At 56.3% G+C, this 25,220-nt stretch overlaps 1 protein-coding gene and 1 non-coding gene across 3 annotated transcripts in view, besides 7 other annotated features; both read left to right on the top strand.

The window, feature by feature from the left end:
- Nucleotides 1-23,187, top strand: part of WNT9A (Wnt family member 9A) — a 29,277-nt gene extending 6,090 nt beyond the window's left edge. For both annotated transcript variants that reach the window (NM_003395.4, XM_011544271.3), the window contains exons 2-4: nt 16,324-16,580; nt 17,443-17,705; nt 19,843-23,187. In NM_003395.4, the coding sequence (NP_003386.1) occupies nt 16,324-16,580; nt 17,443-17,705; nt 19,843-20,325 (1,003 nt within the window). In that variant the 3' untranslated portion in view covers nt 20,326-23,187. The remainder of the gene's footprint in view (nt 1-16,323; nt 16,581-17,442; nt 17,706-19,842) is intronic.
- On the top strand, nt 160-253 carry MIR5008 (microRNA 5008). Its single transcript, NR_049806.1, has one exon. It is a non-coding gene; the product is annotated as a microRNA 5008 (primary transcript).
- Nucleotides 6,232-7,431: an enhancer, noted in NCBI's record as "P300/CBP strongly-dependent group 1 enhancer chr1:228122113-228123312 (GRCh37/hg19 assembly coordinates)". NCBI's record gives its function as "activates an origin of replication core promoter dependent on BRD2, BRD4, P300/CBP, MED14 and CDK7 cofactors, with strong dependence on P300/CBP, by STARR-seq in HCT116 cells {active_cell/tissue: HCT116}" and the evidence as "EXISTENCE:reporter gene assay evidence [ECO:0000049][PMID:35650434]".
- Nucleotides 6,232-7,466: a biological region, named in NCBI's record as "negCOR silencer S7".
- Nucleotides 6,281-7,466: a silencer, noted in NCBI's record as "S7 fragment used in the reporter construct". NCBI's record gives its function as "represses activity of a beta-globin enhancer-driven SV40 promoter in transfected K562 erythroleukemia cells {active_cell/tissue: K562}" and the evidence as "EXISTENCE:reporter gene assay evidence [ECO:0000049][PMID:30886051]".
- Nucleotides 11,450-12,010: an enhancer, noted in NCBI's record as "H3K4me1 hESC enhancer chr1:228117534-228118094 (GRCh37/hg19 assembly coordinates)". NCBI's record gives its function as "activates a minimal SCP1, AML or CMV promoter by ChIP-STARR-seq in naive H9 embryonic stem cells {active_cell/tissue: H9 hESC(naive)}" and the evidence as "EXISTENCE:reporter gene assay evidence [ECO:0000049][PMID:30033119]".
- Nucleotides 14,775-15,527: an enhancer, noted in NCBI's record as "H3K4me1 hESC enhancer chr1:228114017-228114769 (GRCh37/hg19 assembly coordinates)". NCBI's record gives its function as "activates a minimal SCP1, AML or CMV promoter by ChIP-STARR-seq in primed H9 embryonic stem cells {active_cell/tissue: H9 hESC(primed)}" and the evidence as "EXISTENCE:reporter gene assay evidence [ECO:0000049][PMID:30033119]".
- Nucleotides 20,662-21,524: an enhancer, noted in NCBI's record as "H3K27ac-H3K4me1 hESC enhancer chr1:228108020-228108882 (GRCh37/hg19 assembly coordinates)". NCBI's record gives its function as "activates a minimal SCP1, AML or CMV promoter by ChIP-STARR-seq in naive H9 embryonic stem cells {active_cell/tissue: H9 hESC(naive)}" and the evidence as "EXISTENCE:reporter gene assay evidence [ECO:0000049][PMID:30033119]".
- Nucleotides 21,525-22,388: an enhancer, noted in NCBI's record as "H3K27ac-H3K4me1 hESC enhancer chr1:228107156-228108019 (GRCh37/hg19 assembly coordinates)". NCBI's record gives its function as "activates a minimal SCP1, AML or CMV promoter by ChIP-STARR-seq in naive H9 embryonic stem cells {active_cell/tissue: H9 hESC(naive)}" and the evidence as "EXISTENCE:reporter gene assay evidence [ECO:0000049][PMID:30033119]".

The following is a 25,220-nucleotide window of genomic DNA, read 5'->3' as shown; positions in this document are numbered from 1 at the left end:
GCGGGGTCAGGACCGGTGCAGTTGTCTGGGACCAGGGTGGCTCCCGCAGCAGTGTCTGTGGGACTGGGGACTGAGCCAGGCCCCCAGAACCCAGAAGGCCAGCCACGAGTGGGGGTTCCCCAGACCCCATGCCTTCTGGCTGGAAGTTGACCTCTGATGGGGCTGACCCCTAGGGTCAGGTGAGGCCCTTGGGGCACAGTGGTGCCATCTCCCCTGTGCTCCCAGGGCCTCGCCTGTCCCTTGAGGTCGGCCCCAGCTGCTGCTTCTTGCAGGAAGCCCAGTGACTGCCCAGATGCCTCCTTCTCTCCCTGCATGCTCAACTCTGGGGTTTGCCAGGAGGGTCCCCATGGAGTCTCCTCAGATGCATCCTTCTCTCCCTGGTTGCTCAACTCTGGGGTCAGCCAGGAGGGTTCCCGTGGGGTCTCTTCAGATGCATTCTATTCTCCCTGGTCGCTCAACTCTGGGATCAGCCAGGAGGGTCCCCTTGTGTTCTCCTCAGATGCATCCTTCTCTCCCTGGTCGCTCAATTCTGGGATTGGCCAGAAGGGTCCCTGTGGGGTCTTCTCCAAGCTGCATTCTGTGTGCCCTCCTATCCCAAGACTCCCTCAAGCCTGAGGCTCTCCCTGCCAGGTGGATCTGTGTCACTCATTCACCTGGCAGCCCAGCCCCGGGTCCTACAGGACTCTGACTCTGGCAGGGCTGTGTCTACACTTGTGGCCAGACGTAGTGCAGTGCAGACCTGGCTGCCAGGCTGCCGCACCTTCCCGTGTGTGGACGATAGGCCAGGTGTTGATGGCCCCACCAGAGCAGCCATGCAGAGTGCAGCCCCGGCGGGGACGTGACCCTGGTTTTCCTTCAGGGGTCATATTCAAGCACATCCGTGGTCCAGGCCGGGCAGGGTGGCAGGTGGCTGGGGATGGTCTTGCTGTGCCTGCTGACCTGGGTGGCACTGGGCCGCCCCGGCCCCGTGACCTGCAGCCTGGGCCCTCCCAGGAGCCTGTTGCCCTCCCGGCATGGTCCTGGCTGGCTGGGCGCCGCTGCCCGCCAGAGGAAGCCCAGCTGTCCAGCTGGCAGTTGCAGCACCTCAGGACCAGTGGCCGGATGGGACGATGGAAAAAGGCAAGCCGCAGGCTGCATTTGTTTTTTTTAGCGATACCTGAGGTCAGTGCAGCCAGGGGAAGTGGGCTGGAGGTCTGGCCCAGGAGGAGCTGCTGCCAGAGCCTCCCAGAGCTGGAGAACGTCAGGGCCGGCGTCCCTCCTGGCCAGATGGGGACAGAGGCTGCAGACCTGGAGTCACTGTGGGGTGGGGAGGGGAGCCAGGTGGACTTTGGGATGCTCCCTCTGTGACACCTACAGGAGAGTGAGCTCCAGAAGGGATGACAGTGTGGGAGGTGACACTGGTGGCCACTGGAAGGTTGCGTGGCTCTCCCTGTCCTGCTGACCAGTTGTGTGGGTCTGCGGCTGTCTGGGAAGGCCATGGGGGGCTGTGGTCACTGAGCACAGAGGCCTCCTGGAAGCTTCTGCTCTTCACCTTTCCCCCGGGGGGTCCTGCGTGCAGCCTTGGTTGCCTGTCTTGCAGCCCACAGACCAGCCATGCCCCTTCTGGGGTCCAGGACCCTGCCCCAGAAAAGGGCAGTCAGCCCAAGTAGCCTGGGGGAGCTGGGCTGGCCTCTGTGGTCTGGTTTGGGGGACCCCATGGATGCTGCAGACACAGACAGGGCAGGGCTTATTCCAGGGGCTGCCATGGGACACGGTGCTTTCAGCAGGGTGGAGGGGGGTGTTTCTCTCAGGCCCGAGGATGCTTCACCTGGCAGGCACCTGGGCATCTGCACAGGCCACCCGTGCCATCCTTGCGGCATGTGCCCCACCTCCTGGGTGCAGCTGGGCCCTGGTGGCGTTGCAGCCCTGAGGGACACAGCAGACGTGCTTGGGCTGGAAGCTGGGCTCGGGCTGGGTTGATTTGCAGACCACGGGGAGGGTGGAGAGTTGATCTCAGCCCCGGTTTCTCAGTGCTAGAATTTGTTTTGATTTTGTTTCACACAGAAATTAAACGCTGTCTGGCAGGACTGAGGTTTTGCTGGCGGGGTGTTGTGGCTTCTGGAACTGCAGTCTCTTCTCCCTCTGCCCCAGCCTGGGGGAGAAAGCTGGGTCCCGGTCAGGGTGGCTAGACCTGCTGGCAGGAGGCAGGAAGGTCGGAGTCCGGCCTTGGTGATGTGTGCTCCCTCCGTAGGACTTCCTGTCTATTGTGCTGGGAGCTGGAAGGAGCCTGTGGCTTTAGGGACCTGGCAGTGTGGGGTGGCTGTCCCTGTGTGTTTCAGGTTCTCTCTGGGGACAAGGCCCGTTTAGCTGCCCTCAGGCTCAGGGCAAGGTGTCTTGAGTGGGTCCTCCCAGGGTGGCCCAATCCCCAAGCAGCCAGGACATGGCAGCATCAGGCCTAGCCAGAGGAGCGGGGGGCCGTCCCCAGACTCAGCACCATGTGTGCTAAGCTCCACTCCTGTGGGGCTGGGGAATGGTCTCCACGGAGCTTCTGCAGGGGTCAGTGCTGACCACCGCGGCCAGCTTCCAGGGCTCAAGGAGGCGACCGGGTCACCGCTCCCTGGAGCCACCTCCCCCGTGGTTCCTGAGACCAGCACTGTCTGCGGCCCCATCTGCAGCGTGGAACTGTTCTGTGTGCCCTGTGGCATGGCAGCCGCAGCCACGTATGGGTGTTGAGACGTCTTCCTTCTCTCCAGCTGGCCTGTGTCCTCCTGCATGGCTGCACCTGGAATGACAGTCAGAGGTGGGAAGTGGCTGGGGCTTGAGAGGTATGGGTGTCCCGTGGAGCCGTCGTCATCCGGGCCCTTCACCGGGGAGAGCAGTCATGAACTGGTGCTGCCGTGAGCCTGGCAGGGGTGCAGCCAGGTCAGAGGCCGCTTTCAGGTCCCAGCCCTGCCTCTGCACTCACAGGCTGCACATGCCGCTACACTGTTTAATCCCCTGAACCTCAGTTTCTTGCCGGTGTAGCAGAGTCAAAAACACACTCACCAGGTAGTTTAGGACATGAAGACATGAGACACTGGAGAGCATAGATGCCTGTTTTCAGCAACAGGCCCACAAGACTCAGAGGCTTTTCTGCTTGAAACAACTAAAGCGAATTTTTACATGGATCTTATGTGTGTACATGCATGTATATGTATGTGTATGTGCATGTATGTGTGTTTGTGTTTGGATGGACATGTGCATGTGTGTATACATGTATGCATGTGGGGGGTTGTGTGTCTGCACGTGCGTATGCGTGCATCTCTATCGGTTTACGGGTTCATATGGGTGTGTCTGTGTGTACACATGAGTGTATGGGTGTATCTGTGTGTGTGGGTGTGTTCGTTCCTGTGGATGTGTGTATGCATGTGTCTGTGTGTATGGGTTTATGGGTTCGTATGGGTGTGTTTGTGTGTGTGTGTGTGAGGGGGTTTGTGTGGGTGTGTTTGTTCCTGTACGTGTGTATGCGTGTGTCTGTGTGTATAGGTTTGTATGGGTGTGTATGTATGGGTATATGTGTGTGTGTATGCGTGTGTGTATGGGTTTATGGGTTTGTATGGGGGTGTGTGTGTACACATGTGTGTCCGTGTGTATGGGTGTATCTGTGTGGGGGGGTTTGTGTGTGTGTGTATATTTAACTTTATAAGTGTCAAAGAGCTGATGAAATGGTTGGTGGGGATCCCTAGAAATAGCAAGAACAGATGCTGAACAAGAAAGTGTGAGGTTGGTTTGGTCTCATGGGATGAGGGTGCATAGTAAAGGCCAGGACCCGCTAAGGAGAGAATACTCAGAGGAGGCCCTCCCACAGTCCCAGGTGGCCCCCAGGGCAGGGCACAGCCACCACGTGTGCGCTGAGGCCTGAGTCACCAGCGTGGTCCCGGGCCCTGGCCTCATGCTGGGTTTTGGGTGGCCTGGCTCTGGGACCGCAGGTGGCCCTAGAAGCCTGGCTGGTGTGCACATAACGAGATCCTTTCCAAAATCTGTGCTGCTGTCCTGGGGCTGCTGTCAGGCACCACAGACTGGCTGGCCTAAAACAACAGGACTTCTGTCTCAGGTCTGAAGGCCAGAAGTCTGAAATCACGGCGTCCGCAGGGCCATGCCCCTCTGGAGGCTTGAGGGGAGGGTCCTTCCTGCCTCTGCCAGCTGCCAGCGATGGCTGCGAACCGTGGGGCTCCTTGGCTGGTTGACTGGCCACTTTACGCCCTGCTTCCATCTTCACGTGGCCCTCTCGTCCGCCTCTGTGTCTTCTCCTTTTTCTTATAAGGACAGCCTCCACTGGCTCTAAAGAGCCCACCATGTCTGGGATGATCTTGCCTTGAGATCCTTATCTCAGTTACTTCTGCAATGCCTCTTATTCCACATAAGGCCCCTGACTGAGGTTGCGTTAGACGCATTTGGTGGGGGACACCATTCCACCTACTGTAGTACCTTTATCCTCTCCTTCAACTTGTTTCTGCCAACTGTTTCCTCAGTACAGTGAGCAGCCCGGGGTCAGAGCTAACCAGGCCTGCACAGAAACACAACAGGGGCCTCGAAAAGACAGCCGCAGCCCAGGAAGCGGAGCAGCGGTGCTGAGTGCAGCGGCTCTCCTCACTCTGCCTCTAGGAAGGAAGACACTTGGGGATGGCTGCAAGGCTCGGGAAACCACAAAGACTGACCCAGCAAGTTTGGAAAAACCAAATAGAGCTAGAGGGGGAGAAAAGTAAGTAAGGCCTGATTTAAAAGCAGATTAGAAACAGCTGAAGGGAATTAGCACAACGGAAGATAGGTCAGAAGAAATTACCCAGAGTATACCAGAGAGGCGGCAAGATGTCAGACAGAGGGCAGGACACCTCGGTGACACGGGGAGGCCATGCCAGAGGCAGCTGAGAAGGGTGCGGGAGTGGGACAGGGCTGATATGTATGAGGGGAGAGGATGAGAGTTTTCCGAAATTGAATAAAGCTGTAAAGAAGATTCCAGAAGCCCAGTGTCTTCCCAGGCCAAAAGTAAAAATAAGTTCACCCTGGAACATGACACATTAGAAGCACACAGCATGCTGGGCACAGTGCCTCGTGCCTGTGATCCCAGCACTTTGGGAGGCTAAGGAAGGAGGATCACTTGAGTCCTGGAGCTGGAGGCTGCAGTGAGCCAAGATAGCGCCACTGCCCTCCAGCTTGAACAGAGCAAAGACCATGTCTCAAAAAAAAAAAGACTGGGTGCAGTGGCTCATGCCTGTAATCCCAGCACTTTGTGAGGCTGCGGTGGGTGGATCACCTGAGGTCAGGAGTTTGAGACCAACCTGACCAACATGGTGAAACCCCGTCTCTACTAAAAATACAAAAATTAGCTGGGTGGCCAGGTGCAGTTCCTCACTCCTGTAATCCCAGCACTTTGAAAGGCCAAGGTAGGTGGATCACCTGAGGTTAGGAATTTGAGACCAGCCTGGCCAACATGGCAAAACCCCGTCTCTACTAAAAATACAAAAAAATTAGCTGGGCATGTTGGCAGCTGCCTGTAATCCCAGCTACTTGGGAGGCTGAGGCAGGAACAATCGCTTGAACCCAGGAGGTGGAAGTTGCAGTGATCTGAGATGGCACCACTGCACTCCAGCCTGAGCAACAGAGCGAGACTCCGTCTGAAAAAAAAAAGAAAAAGAAAAAGAAAAACTGCACAAGATTGAAGACAGAATCATAAAAGCCATCCTGAGAAAGAAGAATACAGATGAGGCGTGAGGACACCAACAAGCTGGTGCCGACCTCAGGAGGTGGAGGCCCTGCTGCATAACAAGATGCAGGAAGGAGTGAGGGCAGAGCGTGGGCTCTGAAGGTGCCATGGAGGTAGTGCTGACTGATAAAACAGTGTCTTGTTGGGCCCCCAAATGGAGGTAAAACATGCAATTAGCACATAACTCAGGGCGGGAGAGTCGATGGGAATATGTTCTCTGGCCCTGTGCTGCCCAGGTAGAGAAGGCACTAACCAGCATCAGGCTTAGGTAGGTCACAGACACATGGTATAGCATTGAAGGTGACTGTGGAAATTACAAAAAATATTGTGCAACTTCAGATGAGCAGAGGGAATATGTGGAATAACAACAACAACAACAAAAACCCAAAAAGAGGAAAAGAGGATGAAAAAACCCAGGACAGGCATGGTCAACAGAAAGGATGAGACAAGAGGGTAAACTGAGGCTCCAGACCCTAGGGGATGAACTGCTCCAGGCGAAAGCCTGGGTTGATTGGAGTGTGGTTAAGGGCTTAGTCTAATTTCCCTGTAAGAGACACTCCAAGGATGGAGGATACAGAATGTTAGAGGAGGGGAGAGAACTCACCAACTCAGAGGGCTTAGGGCACAGAGGGAATCTCGAGAGAAGAAGGAGGAGAGGGCCAGATGGTGAACCAGGCTCTGCAGCATGACCTGAATCTGTGACTTGGTCTCTGTTTGGCAGCCTGAGATTGTGACTCAGGCTCTCTATGGCAAACAGAAACCTAGGCTGTTACTGGGGTCACAGTCCCCACTATAGTGAACTGGAGCTGTGACTCAAGCTCTGTATGTGAACTGTGTCTGACTCAGGCCCTGTATGGTGAACTGAGGCTGTGACTCAGGCTCTGTATGTGAACTGGGGGTGTGATCTGGGGTCTGCTTGGCAACCTGAGGCTGTGGCTGGGGTCACAGTTTCTGCTATGGTGAACAGGGGATGTGACTCAGGCTCTGTATGGTGAACTGGGGCTGTGACTCAGGATCTGTATGGCAAACTGAGCTGTGACTCAGGCTCTGTATGGTGAACTGGGGCTGTGACTCAGACTCTGTGGTGAACTGAGGCTGTGACTCAGGCTCTGTATAGTGAACTGGGGCTGTGACTCAGGCTCTATGTGGTGAACTGGGGCTGTGACTCAGGCTGTCTATAGTGACCTGAGTCTGTGACTCAGGCTGTCTATGGTGACCTAAGGTTGTGACTGGGGTCACAGCCCCCACTATGATCAGCTTGAGCTTACCTGAGGCTATGACTCAGGCTCTGTATGGTGAACTGAATCTATGACTCAGGCTTTGTAGAGGTCCCTGAGGCTGTGACTCAGGCTCTGCGTCGTGACCTGAAGTTGTGACTGAGGTTCCAGTTTAGGAGCAACTGAAATGATGACAGTGATAGCTTTAAGTGCACATTTTAGAAGAGGAGAGAAACTAGAACGCACAGTACTGTTGAGAAGCTAGAGAGAGAACTACAGGCCAACGTGAAAGGAAATAGAAGGAAGACATTGGAAATAGTGCCAACAGTAATTACATAAGAGTAGACATGCCGTAGAGATGACAGCTCACTTCTTGGAAATATCTGAGACTAATCCAGAAAGATGAGGCTCATTGCATTAGTTTCCTGTCTAGGGGAATCCCTACAGATTCTTCAGACAAAAACAGGAGAAAGCAATTAATAGATTCATGACAATAAATCTGAAAATTTAGATGAAACTGACAAAACCAGAAAAGAAAAGTAATAGAAACTAAGTCAAGATACAGAAATATTCATTAATCCTATAATAATTAAAGAAAGTGGGGCATTGAGAATATAAAGTGCAGCCACATTGGAAAACATCTGATTTCCCAAGGGATTAAGCACAGAGTTTCCCTGTGACCCAGCAGCTCCACTCCCAGGTGTATACCCAAGAGAAGTGAAAACATATGTCCACACAAACACATGTGTGAATGTTCATAATGGCAGCAGGTATGAAAGCTGGAAAATGGAACAACCCAGGTGCCTCTCAGCACATGAATGGATGAGCACAACGTGTTCCATCCACACAATGGAATAGGATTCACCCTTAAGAGGAGGGATGTTCTGACACAGGCTGCAGCCCAGATGAACCTCGAGGACATTGTGTTCGGTGAAATAAGACAGCCACAAAAGGTCAATGCTGCGTGATTCCACTTAAATATCCAGGATAGGCAAATCCATCAAGACAGAAAGCGGATCAGGGCTGGGGGGTTTCTGAGGAGATGGCAGGCCCTGCGTCTGACTGTGGTGATTGTTGCCCATATCGGTGAATTCACAGCGAATCTTGCAGTGGGTGAGTTTGTGGTGTGTGAGCTGCAGCCTGACCCTGCTCCACTGTGCTTGGCTCTGTGGTGCCATTGCATGTCAAGGATTAGTAGCAGCCCTGTCACAAGCACGTCCTGAGACAATATTAAAATTAGACCAATTAATAACCCTACAGTGGCTTCTGAGTGTTCAAGTGAAAGGGAGAGTCGCACGTCCCTCACTTTAAAGTGAAGAATGATTAAGATTAGTGAGGAAGGCATGTCCAAAGCCAAGACAGGCTGGAAGCTGGGCCTCAGTTAGCCAAGCTGTGAATGCAAAGAAGTTCTTGAAGAAAATGGAAAGTGCTACTCCAGTAAACATACAAATGATAAAGTGAAACAGTCTTATTGCTGACATGGGGAAAGTGTGAGTGGTCTGGATAGAAGATCAAACCAGCCACAGCATTCCCTTAAGCCAAAGCCTAATTCAGAGTAAGGCCCTAACCCTCTTCAGTTTTATGAAGGCTGAGACAGGCCAGGAAGCTGCAGAAAAAAAGGTGGAAGCAAACAGAGGTTGGTTCACAAGGTTTAAGGAAAGAAGCGGTCTCTGTAACATAAAAGTGCAAGAGCTGGTGGAGACACTGCAGCAAGCTCTCCAGCAGATCCAGCTAAGATCAATGATGAAGGGGGCCACAGTAACAACAGATCTTCAGCGGAAATGAAACAGCCTTCTACTGAAAGAAGATGTCATCTGGGACTTCCATAGCTAGAGAGGAGAAGTCAATGCCTAGCTTCAAAGCTTCAAAGGACAGGGTGACTCTCTTGATAGGGGCTAATGCAGCTGGTAACTTTTAAGTTAAAGCCAATGCCCATTCACCATTGCAACAATTCCATGACTGTTAAGAATTACGCCAAGTCTACTCTGCCTGTGCTCTAGAAATGGAATAACAAAGCCTCGATGACAGCACATTTGTTCCCAGCCTGGTTTACTAAATATTTTATGCCCACTGTGGAGACCCACTGCTCAGAAAAAAAGATTCCTGCAAAGTATTATTGCTCATTGGCAGTGTCCCGTTCACCCAAGAGCTCTGGTGGAGATGTGCCAGGAGATGTATGTTGTTTCCATGCCTGCTAACACAATGTGCATTAATTCTCCAGCTCATAGATCAAGGAGTCATTTCAACTTTCAAGTCTTACTATTTAAGACATTTCATAAGGCTACAGCTGCCATAGACAGTGATTCCTCTGATGGATCTAGGAAAAGTCTATTGAAAACCTGCTGGAAAGGATTCACCATTCTAGATGCCTTAAAAACATTCATGATTCGTGGGAGGAGGTCAAAACAGCAACATGAACAGGAGTTTGGAAAATGTTGATTCCAGCCCTCAGGGATGACTCTGAGGGATCCCAGACTTCAGGGGAGGAAGTCACTGCAGATGTGGTGGAAGCAGCAAGAGAATGAGAATTGGAAGTAGAGCCTGGAAATGGGACCGAATTGCTGCAGTCTCATGATAAAATGTGAATGGATGACAAGTTGCTTCTTATGGATAAACAAAGAAAGTGGTTTCTTGAGATGGAATCTACTTCTGGTGAAGATGCTGTGCACATTGTTGAAATGACAACAAAGGATTTAGAATTGATATCAATTTAGTTGATAAAGCAGTGGCAGGGTTTGAGAAGAGTGACTCTAATTGTGAAAGCAGTTCCACTGTGGGTAAAATGCTAGCAAGCAGCATCACCTGCTATAGAGAAGTCTTTCATGAAAGGGAGAGTCCATTGATGTGGCAAACTTCATAGTTGTCTTGCTTTAAGAAATTTCCGGCTGGGCGTGATGGCTCACGCCTGTAATCCCAGCACTTTGGGAGTCCAAGGCAGGCGGATCAAGAGGTCAGGAGTTCCAGACCAGCCTGGCCAACATGGTGAAACCCTGTCTCTACTAAAGATACAAAAAAAAAAAAAAGACATTTCCACAGCCACCCCAAACTTCAGCAGCCACCACGCTGACCAGTCAGCAGCTACCAGCATGGAGGCAAGACCCTCCCCCAGCGAAAAGATGACAACTCAGTGAAGCTGAGATGATTGTTAGCCTTTTTAGCAGTCCAGTGTTTTTAACTAAAGTATATGTATTATTTTTAAGACATAATGCTATATTGCTCACTTAAAGACTGTAGTGTAAGCATACCTTGTAGAAGCACTGGGAAACAAAAAAACTCATGTGATTTGCTTTTTTCTGACCTTTTCTTTATTGCGATGATCTGAAACCAAAGCTACAACATCTTCAAGGTGTGCCTGTGTATCTCAGTAAAGCTGTTCAGAAAGAAAAGAAAAAAGAAACTGGATCAGAAAGGAAATCTTTTTGCCAAGAATAGCTCAGTCCTTAGATGGCTTCATGGCCAGTTCTTCAGAACAAACAGTTAAGAAGATACAATTCTCATCTGATACAAACTCTCCTAGGAAAATGAAACAAGACCCTTCACACAGGCACTGAAACTCAGTGGGAAGAGCTAGAGAGAAGAAAATCACAAACACAGACGTGAAAATCCTAGGAAGACACTATCGGAAGACATCTAGCCCCATAGAAGAGGATGGAGCCCGTCCTGGCCAGGTTGAGTCCAGGAAGACAAACTTCCACAGAACATTGGTCAGTTTCTGTAGCTCACTGCAACAGTGAGGCTGCAGTGAGCTGTCATTGTGCCACTGCACTCCAGCCTCGGTGGCAGTGTTAGACTCTTCCTCTAAGAAAAAGGAAGGAAGGAAGGAAGGAAGATGAGAGAAGAGTCATACCTCAAAAGATGTAGGGATGACATTTGATAACATTCAATATTCATTTTTTTTTTTTTTGAGACGGAGTCTCACCCTTGTCACCCAGGCTAGAGTGCAGTAGCGTGATCTCGGCTCATCGCAACCTCTGCCTCCCGGGTTCAAGCGAGTAGCTGGGATTACAGGCGTATGCCTCCATGCCCAGCTAATTTTTATATTTTTAGTAGAGACAGGGTTTCACCATGTTGGCCAGGCTGGTCTCGAACTCCTGACCTTAAGTGATCCTTCCACCTTGGCCTCCCAAAGCATTGGGATTACAGGCGTGAGCCACTGCGCCTGGCCTCATTTATGATTTTTAAAGGTTCTTAGCAAACTAAGAACCAAAGGGCGCCTCTGTGGCCGGAAACGGTGTTTGGGCGTCAGGCTTCATGCTGAAATGTTGAAAGCATTCCTCTGAAGATGAAGAGCAAGACCAGGATGGCGGCTGCCACCTTTATGCAAACCGGGGTGATGCAGGCTGGTTTTTTTGTTAGTTTGTTTTTAGATGGTCTCAGTCTGTCACCCAGGCTGATGTGTGGTGGTGTGTCCGTGGCTCACTGCAACCCCCACCTCCCAGGCCTGTGCCATTTGCTGAGTGTGGAGCGAGTTCCATGGATTCTGGATAGGCCATCTGTGCCCCGGCACAACTCACAGCTGTATGGGGAAGAACGTGCTTCCTCCATCTTTGGGTCTTTGCTTGGTCCGGTGCAGCCACAAACGCGCATGCACATGCAGCCCCTGCTGAGCTTATCCACCCACTCCTGGGCTCTGCTTGTCCACTGAGCACACCTGGGGCGCGACTCGGCATGGATTCACATAGGGTGGCTGGCTGCTCATGGACCACGTGACACGCCACAGAGCGTGTGGATCCGACGTTCCCAGCTGCTCTCCTGCTGTCTCCAGCACGTTCCTATAACAAGGCTGTGTTGAATGGCATACTGGGAAGGTACAATGCACGTGCAGGCTATGCTTCCAGAAAGATGTGATTATATCTGTAATTGTCAGGCATCTTAGTTTACGCAGGCTGCTATGGCAAAACACCACAGCCTGGGAGCTTATAAAACACAGAAGTATGCTGCTCACAGCTCTGGAGGCTGGAAGGCCAAGGTCAAGGTGTGGCAGATTCTGTGTCTGGTGAGGTCACTTCCTTGTTCATAGACATTGCCTTCTCACCATGTCCTCACATGGCAGAAGAGGCAAGGGTCTCTCTAGGGTCCCTTTTATTTATTTATATTTTATTTTATTATTATTTTAACCACAGCTCACTGCAGCCTTGACCTCCCAAGCTCAAGTGTTTCCCCCGCCTCAGCCTCCTGAGTAGCTGGGACCACAGGCATGCACCACTGCGCCTGGCTAATTTTTAAATATTTTATAGAGACCAGGTCTCACTATGTTGCCCAGGCTGGTCTTGAACTCCTGACCTCGAGTGATCCTCCCGCCTTGGCCTCCCAAAGTTCTGGGTTTACATGCGTGAGCCATCGCACCCAGCCTGGGGTCCGTAAGGACACTAATCCTGTTCATCGCCTAATCACTTTCCAGAGGCCCCACCTCCTAATGCTACCACTTTGATGGTGTTAGGTTTGACCATATGAATTTGGGGAAGACACAAACATTCAGACCACTACAGTGGATTATTTTTAAAGTTTCCTAGATATGTCAGTCTGGAATTCCAGCCGTGGAAGAGTGTCTCCCCGTGTCCTTGACGATATTCCCATCAGACATTTGATTTGTGCTTATTAATTAACAAAGCATAATGTATCAATATAGTTTTTTTTCTTGAGATGGGGTCTTGCTATGTTGCCTGGGCTGGTCTCCAGTTCTTGGGCTCAAACAACCCTCCCGTCACGGTCTCTGGAGCAGCTGGGAAGGAAGGCACAGAATGTCTTAGAGTGGGGCTGAGTGTCGGCTCACAGGTTTGAAGAGCCAGTTGGTTTCCTTCCCTTGGCCTGTAGGTTTATACCCTTTGTCTGTCTTCAGTCGGTTCCTTTGTTATTGGTTTATAGGAAGAGATATGCATCCAGACACACACACACACGTGCACAGCGCCGGCCCCTGGTCTGGGGTGTGAGTTGTAGGCATTTGCCCCAGATGTAATTTGTCTGTTGGTCTCTGGACTCTGCGCTGCCTCTTTTTTGTTCTTTGCTGTGCAGAGATTTTTATACTTTTAAGTAGTCAAATATATTCACTTTTCAGTGACTTCTGAGTTCTGAGTCTCACGGAAGAAAGCTTCTCTGTTCTGAGGTTGTGTTGGGAACCACTCCTCCCTTCTTCAGCCCTTCTGTGGCTCTGTCGTGTGGCAGAAAGAGAGCCCCACCTGGAAGCCCTGCCTGTCAGGAGGGTCTGGGCCCCCTCTGCTGGGCCCAGGCTCTGAGATCGCCCATCCTGTTCCCCAGCATGCCCTGTGGTGCCTGTGGTCTGCCTGTTTATCCTCAGACCTGCACCCCCTGAGGCTGTGAGTCCCTTCAGTTGGCTGCATGTGGAGCCCACCCTGACAATGAAGGAGGCATGGGGCAGGGGTTACCCAGGGTGGGAGAGGTGAGGGGGCAGGAGCTTAAGAAGGCCATGGCCAGAGCAGCACAGAATTCAGTGAATACTCCAGGGAAGGGCGTAGCCTTTGGGCCTCAGGCCATCCCTTGCCACTGCTAGGCTGGGGCAACCCTCCCTCCACACCCTTCTGACAGTGCCAACGGCCCACCCTGCCCACCCTGCCTGGCCTTGGATCAGGGTCAGTCACCCGTAGCTGCGTTTAGGGAGTTGCCTCTGATAGAGGGGTGTCCTGGGGCCAGAGGGGAGGGCAGCTGCCCGGCAAGTCTCCAGGTGTAGCCACACTTGCTGCCCTGCTGTCTGCATGCTTCAGGGGTGCCCTAGGGAAGGCTGGAGGACTCAGCTAGTCACCGTCAAACCAGCTCTCAGTGCCCCGGCGTGCTCGGGCCTCACACTGACCAGTGTGGGCAAGGCGGTGGGTCACAGGGAGAGGGCAGGGCAGGCTGATATCCTTGACAGGGAGGGAGGGGTGGCTCTGGTAGATGGGGCTTCTCCCCCTCCTCCTCCTCCCCTGCCCTCTTCCCTTCACCCTCCTCCCCTTGTCCCCTCATCCCCTACCCTCCTCCTCTCCCCTTTTCCCCTCCCCATCTTCTTCTTAGTGCCCTCCCTCTCCCCTCCCCCTGTCCCCTGTCCACACCCACAGTTGGGTTTTGCAGCTTGTGGAGGGCCCATGCTGGCCTGGTCATAGGGGTTTTCTGGGACAGTGGCTTGGGGCTCGTGGGTCCTGGCGGGTCCAGGCCTGGGGAGGCACAGGTGGGAGGCTGTCGTCTTCCTGAGGGCTGTTCTGGTCACAGCTGTGGCGTTCCGTCTGGGGATGGAGGTCTCCACCTGCAAGCTGCCCTTGTGTGTGAGGTGCGGCTCTCCTGGCCTTACTCCCCCGCCTGCCTCCCGCCCTAGCCGTGCTCTGTGTGCCCAGATGTCCTGGGACATCCCATCCCTAGCCCTGGGGCTTGGAGGTGTCTGTGCATGGATGCCCACAGTGCCGCCCTGTGCTCCTGTCCTGACCCCCAGGGCATTTGAGGGGACCTGCCTGCACTGCCCTTCCTTCCCTCACCCAGGCGGCCTCTTCCAACCTCAGCCCACGGCAGTGTCCAGGCTCAGAGGACTGGCTGGTCCCTCCTGTCCTCCCCATGGGGCCCATTGTGCTGCATGGGGCCCGTGCCTCTGGGACCTTGGGGATTTGCTAGAAGGGCCCTTGGGCTCCTCCTCTACCCACTCCCTGGCAGCCTGGCACATGGGTGTGTGTCCTGAATCCTGGGCATGGCCTCCCTAAGTGAAGACCCCCTCTGCAGCACCTCTTGGTGGTTCACTGACTGATGGGGGCCGTTGCAGGTCCTTCTGCAACTCTGGCTCAACTCCGAGGGCTCATGGGTGCTCGGGCTGGCTCTGAGCATCCTGAAGAAGCAGACCGCAGCTTAGGGGGCAGGACGTCAGCTTGGCCGGGCAGGGTATCTCAGCATGACCACCAGGTGGGTGGCTCCTGTGGAGGGGCTGTGGGATCCTTCCTGGGGCCACTACCTGCTCCTTCTGTGGCCTGCGCCTGTGGCCCTGGAGGCAGGTGCCCCTCAGTAGCCTTGGGGTTACCTATGTGGCCTTGCCTTTGATGGGGTATGCTAGGGAGCCTCTTGGGCCCCTCCCCTCCATACCGTTGGGCAGGAGCTACTCCCTCGGGGTGGGTGGCAGGGTCTAGCAGGGCCATGTGAGGGTGTGGGGGGAGCCTTCCCAAGCTGGCACCCCGGTGGCTCCCAGCACATCCTGAGTCTGCCGTTCTCTGCTGGGGGTGGGTTGGTCGTCATGTGTCCAGTGATGCTTTCAGGAGGGGCCTCCAAGCCCTGGCCCTGTCCAGGTGGGTGCCCTCCTAAGGGCTGGAGGGCTGAGTCTGGCTTGAGGTGGCCGTGCCTGGGGCCCCTGACATTCAGTCCACCCATGTGGGGACACTGGGCTGGCAGGTCTGACACAGAGCTGCAGAGCATGCTCGGTCAGTCCCAGGATAGACAGGTGACATGGGGTCGGGGTCAGGGTTTGGGGTTGAGGGCTCTTGACTCGATATGGGCTGGGCTGGGCCAGGGCGGGGTGTGAGGGAAGCCTTGTGAAGTGAGCCCAGCAGCAGCAGCAGGTGAGCCAGCAGCCAGCTGGGGGGAGGGGGCACCCAGTGGGGTGGAGCCGGGTTCCTGGAGCAGTTGAGGTTGGGGATGCGTCCTCAGTGCTGGGTACTGGTGCAAGGCCTCGTGTAAAGATGGAGGGTGGTGTTCATCAGCTCAGAGGCCCCCAGGGGTGGCCTATGGGGATGGGTTAGCTGGGGTCTGTCCTGCAAAGGAGGATGTCCAGATTTGGTGAGGTGAGAGGGGTAGAGTGTCAGAGAACCAAGAGCTGCTTCCCAGTGCCACACCCAGGCACTGAGGTGGGGAGACCCCAGCTGGAACCTGGGGACATATGCGTAGACTGCAGGAGTGCTGGGAAGCTGCAGGGGGCCACAGGACTGTAGACATCCCAGCAGGTCATGGCAGAGGGTAGGGGGACCTCAGGCGGGATCCTGCGGGTCAGCTGGGGCCAAAGAGGGTGGAGGATGTGGCAGACGCCCATCAGGCATAGTTTGGGATTCAGGCTCCGGAGCCTCCTCCCTGCCCACAGCCCTAGGCGGGGCTGTCCTCTTGCGTATGTTGTGTGTGTTGTGGGGGTCTTATCTGTCCAGTGCAGCCAGAGTCAGCTAGACTCCCTGAAACTGTGGGGGTCGAGTCGGCAGCAGAGACAGCCCTGTGGTCACTGAGACCATGCTCGCTGGAGTGGGGGCCATGGGTGTGCAGGGGGCCAAGGCCCTTCTCGCCTCCCTCTCCCCTGCCTGGCTCATCCTGGATTCTTTCTGCCCCCTCACCCCCGGATGGACACGCCTGTCCCCTGTACCCTGGCCACCGAGACACCTGGCCAGGCTCCAGCAGGGCTTCCTGGGGCCGGGCTCATGCTGGCCTCTCTGTGCCCAGGCTGACGGGCAGCGAGCCCCTGACCATCCTCCCGCTGACCCTGGAGCCAGAGGCGGCTGCCCAGGCGCACTACAAGGCCTGCGACCGGCTGAAGCTGGAGCGGAAGCAGCGGCGCATGTGCCGCCGGGACCCGGGCGTGGCAGAGACGCTGGTGGAGGCCGTGAGCATGAGTGCGCTCGAGTGCCAGTTCCAGTTCCGCTTTGAGCGCTGGAACTGCACGCTGGAGGGCCGCTACCGGGCCAGCCTGCTCAAGCGAGGTGAGTGTGGCCGGCCTGGCCCTCAGGAAGGCCCCAGACAGGTGGCAGCCCAGGCCTTGTCCATATCCCAAGAGGCCCCTCTTAGGCTGCGCTCCTGGGGACGCCGGGCCCAGCCTGCCCAGAGCTCCTGGGCCTAGGCCCTGGAAAGGGCAGCCCCGGGACCTCCCTGAGTGCTGCCTGCCCTGCCTTGCTTTAGGCACACGCACAGTCGTTGCTGGTGGCCAGGGCATGCTGACTCGGCCTTTGACGGGGCCCCAGGCTACCCGGGGCTGCCCCGACAGCCCTCGGCTCATGCCAGGTGGCCCAGTGCCCAGTGGGCTATGCCTGTGCAGACTCTCTTCCTGCCCCTCCCACCCTCATGAGGGCTCTCTGATGCCTTATTTCAGCCACCCTCCCACCCAGCCTCCTCCCGCCCCCTCCCAGGGGCTCTCCACTGCCTATTTCAGCAACCCTTTCACTTCAGCTTCTGGAGTAGCTGGGGCTGCAGCTGTGTGCCACTGCACTGCATGAGCTTGTTTAAAAATTGGGGACCCAAGGCCCAGGGCCAGGCAGGCCTTGCCAATGGCCCCATGGTGAGGCTGGGAGGTTCGAGACCCTGATGGGGACTGTGACCACGGAGCCGGAGCCATGGCCATGGCGGGCTCTGGTTTCTCCCCCCAGCCAGCCCTGCGCCTGGGACACCCAGGCGTTTCCTACCCTGTGGTGGCCAGGGCACACCCACACCCTGTCCCGAGTGCAGCACCAGGAAAGATGCTCTGAGCCCCAACATGGGATTCATACTCTTGGGGTGATTTGGCTGCAGGACAGTGAAGGGGGAACTCTGGGCAGCCTGGGCTCACTGATCGGCCCTTGCCAACCCCAGGCTTCAAGGAGACTGCCTTCCTCTATGCCATCTCCTCGGCTGGCCTGACGCACGCACTGGCCAAGGCGTGCAGCGCGGGCCGCATGGAGCGCTGTACCTGCGATGAGGCACCCGACCTGGAGAACCGTGAGGCCTGGCAGTGGGGGGGCTGCGGAGACAACCTTAAGTACAGCAGCAAGTTCGTCAAGGAATTCCTGGGCAGACGGTCAAGCAAGGATCTGCGAGCCCGTGTGGACTTCCACAACAACCTCGTGGGTGTGAAGGCAAGTGGGGTGGGGCTGGCGGGGTGGGAAGGGAGGGTCAGAAAGAGCGTCAGGGGGTTGGGGGTGGGGCGTGGGACTGGGGGCGGGGCTGCAGCAGGGCAGGCAGGCACACAGTGGAGTGGCCTCCTGTAGGAGGGTGGAGGCCGTGCAGCGCCAGTCATGGTCCTGGAGCCTCTCGTGCCCATAAGGCTCCCTACCCACCAAACGGGGCACTAGCCATGGAGAGGTATCTCAGGTTCTCTCTAGAGGGGTACCCCATGTCTGCCTGCAGAGGGGCCCCCACGGTCCCTGTGGGGCCACCAGGAGGGTGTCCTTGGTTAGGCAGTCTAACCAGTATCATGGCACTGTGGGCCCCACCTGTCAGCCAGCTGGCAGGCTTGTCACGAAGACCGGTGGGAGGAAGATGTGCCCCCCACAGACCAAGGTGGGAGGCATGGTGGGCAGGGGATCCCAGGGAAGGGTTAGGGGTACGGAACCCACTCACCCAAGTCAGGGGAGTCTCTTTCTGCCCCACCAGCCCTCTCCGTGGCCAGGCGTCTGTTCTGAGAGACAGAATCCCAACCTAAAGACTTCGAGATAAAAGGACTCTCTCTCCTGAGCCCTTCCAGGGGCCACTGGCTGTTGGGGTGGCTGACCCGGGGTGACCCTGGCTCTCTGGTCATCCTTCATGCTACCTGCAGCCTGTCAGTGCCCAGGTCCACATGTCTGGGGGAGTCCGGGCTGGACCTGTAACCCCACTCTGCACAGAGCCCCCAGCATCTCTGCAGTTCCTGAACAGGGATGGGCAGGGTTGACACCTCTATTGGAAGCTGAGGGGCATTTCTCCCTCCTGCCTTCATCTTCACATTTGCCAGGCAGGCTGGGAATGTAGAGCCCCAGCCTGGGGAGGGGTAAGGTAAATAGAGCCGGCCCTGCTGTGAGCCCCACTTGATTGAGAAGTCAGAGTACCCAATCACCAACTTACTAAAGGATCAACCTCCCCTGTTTGGGTCTCTTGTGCCTCCTTCCGCCTTCTTGGGCAGGGGAGAGCCTTCGAAGGCAGATTCAAGCCCTAAGCAAGGCCCTTTCTTTTCCTTTGTGTATGACCCCCCTTCCCCTCTTCGCCGCTTTGTAAGAGATTAATGAGAAGTCGGAACATGAAGGTGCTCCATTAGCTCCACAGAGCCTGGGTCAGCGACATTTTAATTAAATTGGTCCGGGTTTCTCTGCAAAGCATCATTAAATGTGACTCTTCGGTTGCCGGGCCAGAGGTGGCTGGATTTCTTAATCCTCCTTGAGCCGGCCCTCCTGGGGGCTGCTGGCGTGGGAGCAGAGCCGCCTGGCTCGGGTCCCACCTGGGAAGGGACCTCCCCACCAGGCCTGTCTTTGCAGGTGGGGCCCTAAGTCCTGGGAGGGGACAGGCCCAGCCAGGCTTCTGTGGCAGCCCCCAGTATGGATTGTGGGTGCCTGGCCCTCCCTGCTGAGGGTGAGGGGTGCACCCCCCTCTGGGGCCAGCCTGGACACTCTCCTGCAGTATAAGGAGCTCTCTCTTCCCCAGGAGCCCCTCTCCCCTGCAGCGTGGGCCTCCCTGCTCCTGTGGTGCCTTCACTGGCCCCCCAGCAGGCTGACCCTCAGCACCGGTGGGTTGGGGGTCGCGTCTGCATGTGCGGTAGCACCTGGTTCCCGATATTAGGGGTAGGGAGGTTGCGGTCAGCTCAGACATACACCACTAGATGAGGTCATGTTTGTCCTCACCTGTCCAGCAAGCTGTGTGCTGAGAGCAGATGTGAAGTCCCGGCAGGACTGGGATTATGGGAATGGGGGCAGAAGGTCTAGCCCCTGCTGAGGGCAGCCCCTGACGCAGGGTGGACATCAGGCAGGAGCCTCCCATTGTGGAGATGCCAGGGTGGCCACCCCAGGGGCTGAGGTGCCGGCCCTGGAGCCTCTGTCTTGGGCAGTCGGCAGCCTGGAGGAGGTAGGACAATGCTACGAGCCGGGAGACTGAGCTGGATGTGAGATGTGCAGTGGTGACGCCCGCCGGCAGGGCCTGGGCCTGGGTGGGGGTGTGGGGTCCCTCTGGGGGTCCAGGGCAGGGTCTGCTCACTGGGCCCACCTGCACAGCCCTCACACTGCCCTCCCTCCCGCACCCTTCTGCCAGGTGATCAAGGCTGGGGTGGAGACCACCTGCAAGTGCCACGGCGTGTCAGGCTCATGCACGGTGCGGACCTGCTGGCGGCAGTTGGCGCCTTTCCATGAGGTGGGCAAGCATCTGAAGCACAAGTATGAGACGGCACTCAAGGTGGGCAGCACCACCAATGAAGCTGCCGGCGAGGCAGGTGCCATCTCCCCACCACGGGGCCGTGCCTCGGGGGCAGGTGGCAGCGACCCGCTGCCCCGCACTCCAGAGCTGGTGCACCTGGATGACTCGCCTAGCTTCTGCCTGGCTGGCCGCTTCTCCCCGGGCACCGCTGGCCGTAGGTGCCACCGTGAGAAGAACTGCGAGAGCATCTGCTGTGGCCGCGGCCATAACACACAGAGCCGGGTGGTGACAAGGCCCTGCCAGTGCCAGGTGCGTTGGTGCTGCTATGTGGAGTGCAGGCAGTGCACGCAGCGTGAGGAGGTCTACACCTGCAAGGGCTGAGTTCCCAGGCCCTGCCAGCCCTGCTGCACAGGGTGCAGGCATTGCACACGGTGTGAAGGGTCTACACCTGCACAGGCTGAGTTCCTGGGCTCGACCAGCCCAGCTGCGTGGGGTACAGGCATTGCACACAGTGTGAATGGGTCTACACCTGCATGGGCTGAGTCCCTGGGCTCAGACCTAGCAGCGTGGGGTGAGTCCCTGGGCTCAGTCCTAGCTGCATGGGGTGCAGGCATTGCACAGAGCATGAATGGGCCTACACCTGCCAAGGCTGAATCCCTGGGCCCAGTCAGCCCTGCTGCACATGGCACAGGCATTGCACACGGTGTGAGGAGTGTACACCTGCAAGGGCTGAGGCCCTGGGCCCAGTCAGCCCTGCTGCTCAGAGTGCAGGCATTGCACATGGTGTGAGAAGGTCTACACCTGCAAGGGACGAGTCCCCGGGCCTGGCCAACCCTGCTGTGCAGGGTGAGGGCCATGCATGCAGTATGAGGGGTCTACACCTGCAAGGACTGAGAGGCTTTTCTAGCACGTCGGGGCGTACAGCTGGAGCAGGGTGCCGGGGGTCCTCTGGGTTGGCTGTCCAAGCCCTGTATCTCCCCCTCTCCAGGACCCAGAGGCGGGGGTTGGCTCTGGTCTGGCGTATGCAACCTCTCTGCTTGTGCCCTGGGCCTCAGCTTCCTCCCTCTGACCCGAGAGCATTGCACCAATGCTTTCTGAGCTTTCTCCCATCCCTAACACACCAGTCCCTGGGAAGCGGCTCCCCATGCCAGTCCATTGGCTTTCCCTCCCCACCTCCTCTGAGGCATGGGTGGCAGGTGCACCTTGGTGACCATGCGGCCTCCGTGTGGGCCACCCGTTGGGGACTGGCCTGGCCCAGGCTGCCCCAACACCAGCACTGTCTTCAGAGACTCAAACCACTAGAAGAGGACGCAGCCTGTTCTGCACTCCCAGGGCCCGGCCGTGCGGGTGCCCAGGCTCGGGGGGACACTGCCGACCTCTGACGTTGAGCACTTCTCTTTGGAGTAAATATCAGTGACTTTTAAATTATTATGATTATTTAACTAATATAATAATTATTATTTTCTCCATCCCTGCCACCTCCCCGGCTGCAGCTCCCCGCTCTCGGCCAAGCCCCAGTCTGGGAGGGCCCCGCCTTCCGTCCCTGACATATTCCCTCCTAACCCTGCCTCTGATCTGCTTAGTTGTTTGAAACCACTAAATCGAGATAGATGTGTGTAGTTAAGGAAATACAGTGAGCTGCGTCTGGCCACAGCCCTTGGGGCTTCTGGAAGCCAGCTCCCCCAGCCCCATGCCAGCCAGCCACTGCCACGTGGTGGGCCAGCCGGCGGCCCCTGCCCTGCACCCTGTGGGCAGACGCCCGGCCTCCAGGCAGCTCAGTGCAGATTCTCGAGCTGGGGGTGGTGGAGAGGGGCGGGCATGGTGAGGGGGCAGGGCAGCCCTTTGATTGGTTCATGTCATGTCATGAGGAAGCTGCTTGCTTTGTGTCACTGGGGGACAGATTGGGACAGATGCCGGTGGAGGCAGTCTTGGGCTCGCATCTGGCCATGGAACGCCATGCTTTATGGCCCTGCTGTTGTGTGTGCTGGGGACAGGGTGACCTGCACTGACCTGGCTTGGTTTGAGGGTGTAGTGTGTGTGTGTGTTGTGAGAGTGTGTGTGCTGGCGTGGTCAGTGTGCATACGTGTGCGTATGTTGTGAGTGTTGTGAGTGCGTGTGTGCTGGCGTGGTCAATGTGTGTAAGCGTGTGTTGTATAAATGCATGCTGGCATGGTCTGTGTGTGTGTGTGTGTGTGTGTGTGTGTGTGTGTGTATACTGGCATGGTCAGCTTGGCTGTGCTGTGCTGTCAGTGGCATGGCGGTGCCTTAGGTTCCCAGAGCCTCTCGCCCTGGGCTCCGTCTTGTGGGTGTCCTGATGGCTGTGGGCTGGGTTCTGGGCGGGTTGCTGGTATGGATACAGGAACTACTGAGTGAATAGGTGTCTCAGAGCCCTAAGGGTCTCCAGAAAGCCGGGGTGTCTGTGTTTTTAAAAGAAAACCTATTTATGTTGCTGTGGGTCTCTGCCGTCCCTGTGTTATAGTACATAAGAACCTTTATTCTCCTGTGGTTCAGAGAGCACCCCGACATGTGCCTGCAGCTGCATCCCCGTACCACAGTGTGGGTGCAAGACGCTGGGTTTGTCCTTTGTCTGGTGAAGCCTGGCTAGAAGGGGTGGGGGTGGTAGCCCCTGCCCTCTGCAGTGTCCGCATCCACTGGTCCCTGAGCAGCATAGCTGGCCACACCCTCATGACATGACAAGACTGTCACTCAGTCACTATTGGGTCTATGAAGGGCGTCAAGTCAGAGGAAGGTTTTTATTTTTAATCAAATACCACATTTAGCTCTATGTCATAAATATTCAGAAAACTATTTTTTTAAACAAGGCAGACCAAAAATGTCTGCTAGCTAGTTGGTTTCTATACAAATACATATTCGAATGTCTTGCTGGATGAAGAGGCCGCTCAGCCGGAGCCTCCTGTTTCATGCGCTTCTCTTCTGAGGGGCAGTAGAGGAGAAAGGGCTGTTGGGAGGGGTTCAGCCCGCTCCTTGGCCAGGGGATCCCAGCCACCTTCTCTGCACCAGGCCCTGCCTTGAGGGACCTGGACCCCCAGGTGGCTTCTGGCCAGGTGTGGGTGGGTGGGAGGGGCCCTGTCTGTGCTCCGAGTCTCCGTGCGTGCAATGATTTCTCTACCTCATCTGTGTGGCCCGTCCCAGAGGGACTGTGGAGAATGTATTTATTTAACAGCTTTGTGTCACAGAACCAGAAACAAATGGAAACATTAAATAAATGTATTTTAAATTATAGCCTCATCTCAGTCTGCTGCCTTCACAGGGGCTTCTGTAGGCCTGGGACGAGGAGGAGGGCCTGAGGAGGAGGCCTAGGAGTTGGCCTCTGCGAAGAGGAGGACAAGAAAGAGGGTTGGAGAGGAGGTGGGCTCGGGGAGGTATGCCTGGGAAGGAGGAGAAATTGGGAGGAGGGACCAGGGAGGAGGAGGAAGGGGGAGGTTTTGGGGAGAAGGGGTATCCACGAAGGAGGACCCTGGGGAGGAGGAGGAACCTGGACAGGAGGAGGGCCCTGGGGAGAAGGAGCACCCTCAGGAGGAGGAGGACCCTGGAGAGGAGGAGGACCCTGGGGAGGAGGGCCTGGGGAAAGAGGAGGACCTGGGGAGGAGAAGGGCCCTTGGGAAGAGGACTTGGGGAGGAGGAGGACCCTGTGGAAGAGGAGGGCCCTCGGGAGGAGGAGGGCCCTGGGGAAGAGGAGGGCCCTGGAGAGGAGGAGGGCCCTGGGAAGAAGGAGGACTTGATGAGGACAGCCCTGAAGAAGAGGAGGACCTGGGGAGGAGGAGGGCCCTGGGAAGAAGGAGGACCTGAGGAGGACAGCCCTGAGGAAGAGGAGGACCGTTGGGAGGAGGAGGACTTAAGAAGGAACCCTGGGGGAGAAGCCCCATCTCCCAGCCACATTTGGCACCTTTGTTGGGCAGGCATCTCCAGGCTGCGTGTATGGCCCCAGCTGACCCTAGTCTCTGTGCTTCCCATGTCCAGGCTGGAGAGCCTGGGGTGCCACAGGAAGCCCTGTCCAGCCCCGTCTTCTCAGACACCTAGCTCCATCCCACTCCTGCCCACAGCCTCTTGCTGAAGGAGGCCCCTCACTCTCTTGCTGGGTCACAAGCAGGGCCTCATCATCCCCCTGCCCTGCATGTGGGGTCTTCTGGGCATAGCCCCTCACCTCCCTGACTCGAAGCCAGTTCCCAGCCCACAGTCCTCACCTTCCTCTCACCTCCATCACCCTTCTGAGCCCACATTGTGGGTCCCCCACCACTGCAACATGCCCTGCAGGAAACCCCTCACTCGCCCTTCCAGACCCTGCCTGCCCCTCTCCTGCCACCTCGCGTCTGGTCTGTGCCCTCCCAGACATCCAGGTCCACGCCCACCACAGCACCGGGGAGGGAGGGGCTGCCCACTGAGGAATGTGGGATTATCTCCCTGATGGGAACAGTCCAGGCTTCCTTTCCAGACCCATGGCCACAGCTCCTACTAAGAGGCCGGTGGGGGCTTCCTGGTGCCGGCCCCTGGCCCTCAGCCTCTGGCCACTGCCGGGTGAAGCCACACTGGATAGCTCTGCCTGGAGGGACAGGCCTGTGCAGGGCAGGGTGGTCAGGGGCTTGGGCCTCTGTGCCCAGGCGGGAGGGGGATGTGAGCTGTCCAGCCAGGGAGCAGGTGGCCTGAATGAGACCATTCTTCTGAGTGACAGCAGTGAAACCATAGCTGAATTCAATCCGGGTGCAGGCGACAGGCAGGCGGGGGCCAGGCTGCTGAGGAGACAAGTCGCTGGTGGGTGGACTGGCTGGACAGGCCACTGTGCACAGCCAACCCTCCCCCTTTGTCCTGGGTCCAGTTGTGTGGGCTAGGGTTCCCTGTGTATGGTGGATGCTCTGTGTGTCTGGTCTGCATCTGCACATGTGTATGTGTGAGGTTGGATTCGTGTGGGTCTGCATGTCAGTGCATCTGTGTCTGCAGGTATTGTGTACGTGTGCATGTGTGTTGTATGTGTCCACATGTCTGTGTGCATTTATATGCAAGCATGCATGTGTGTGTGGCTGGGTTTGTGTTGTCCACATGTGAGCATGCATATGTGTGTGTGTTGTGCATGTGTCTCCATGCATACATGTGGCTGGGTCTGTGCATGTGTCCACATGTGTGCATGCATATATGTGGCTAACTCCATGCATTTGTGTCTGTATGTGCATGTGTGTCTCGAGTGTGTCTGCGTGCATGTGGCTGGTTCCATGCATTGGTGTCTGTGCATGCATGTGCATACATATGTGTATCTTTTGTGT

The sequence above is a fragment of the Homo sapiens genome, chromosome 1, assembly GCF_000001405.40.
Source record: "Homo sapiens chromosome 1, GRCh38.p14 Primary Assembly".
NCBI classification, from domain to species: Eukaryota; Metazoa; Chordata; class Mammalia; order Primates; family Hominidae; genus Homo; species Homo sapiens.
The sequence above is the reverse complement of the archived record's forward strand: the minus strand, read 5'-3'. Positions and strand labels throughout refer to the sequence as shown.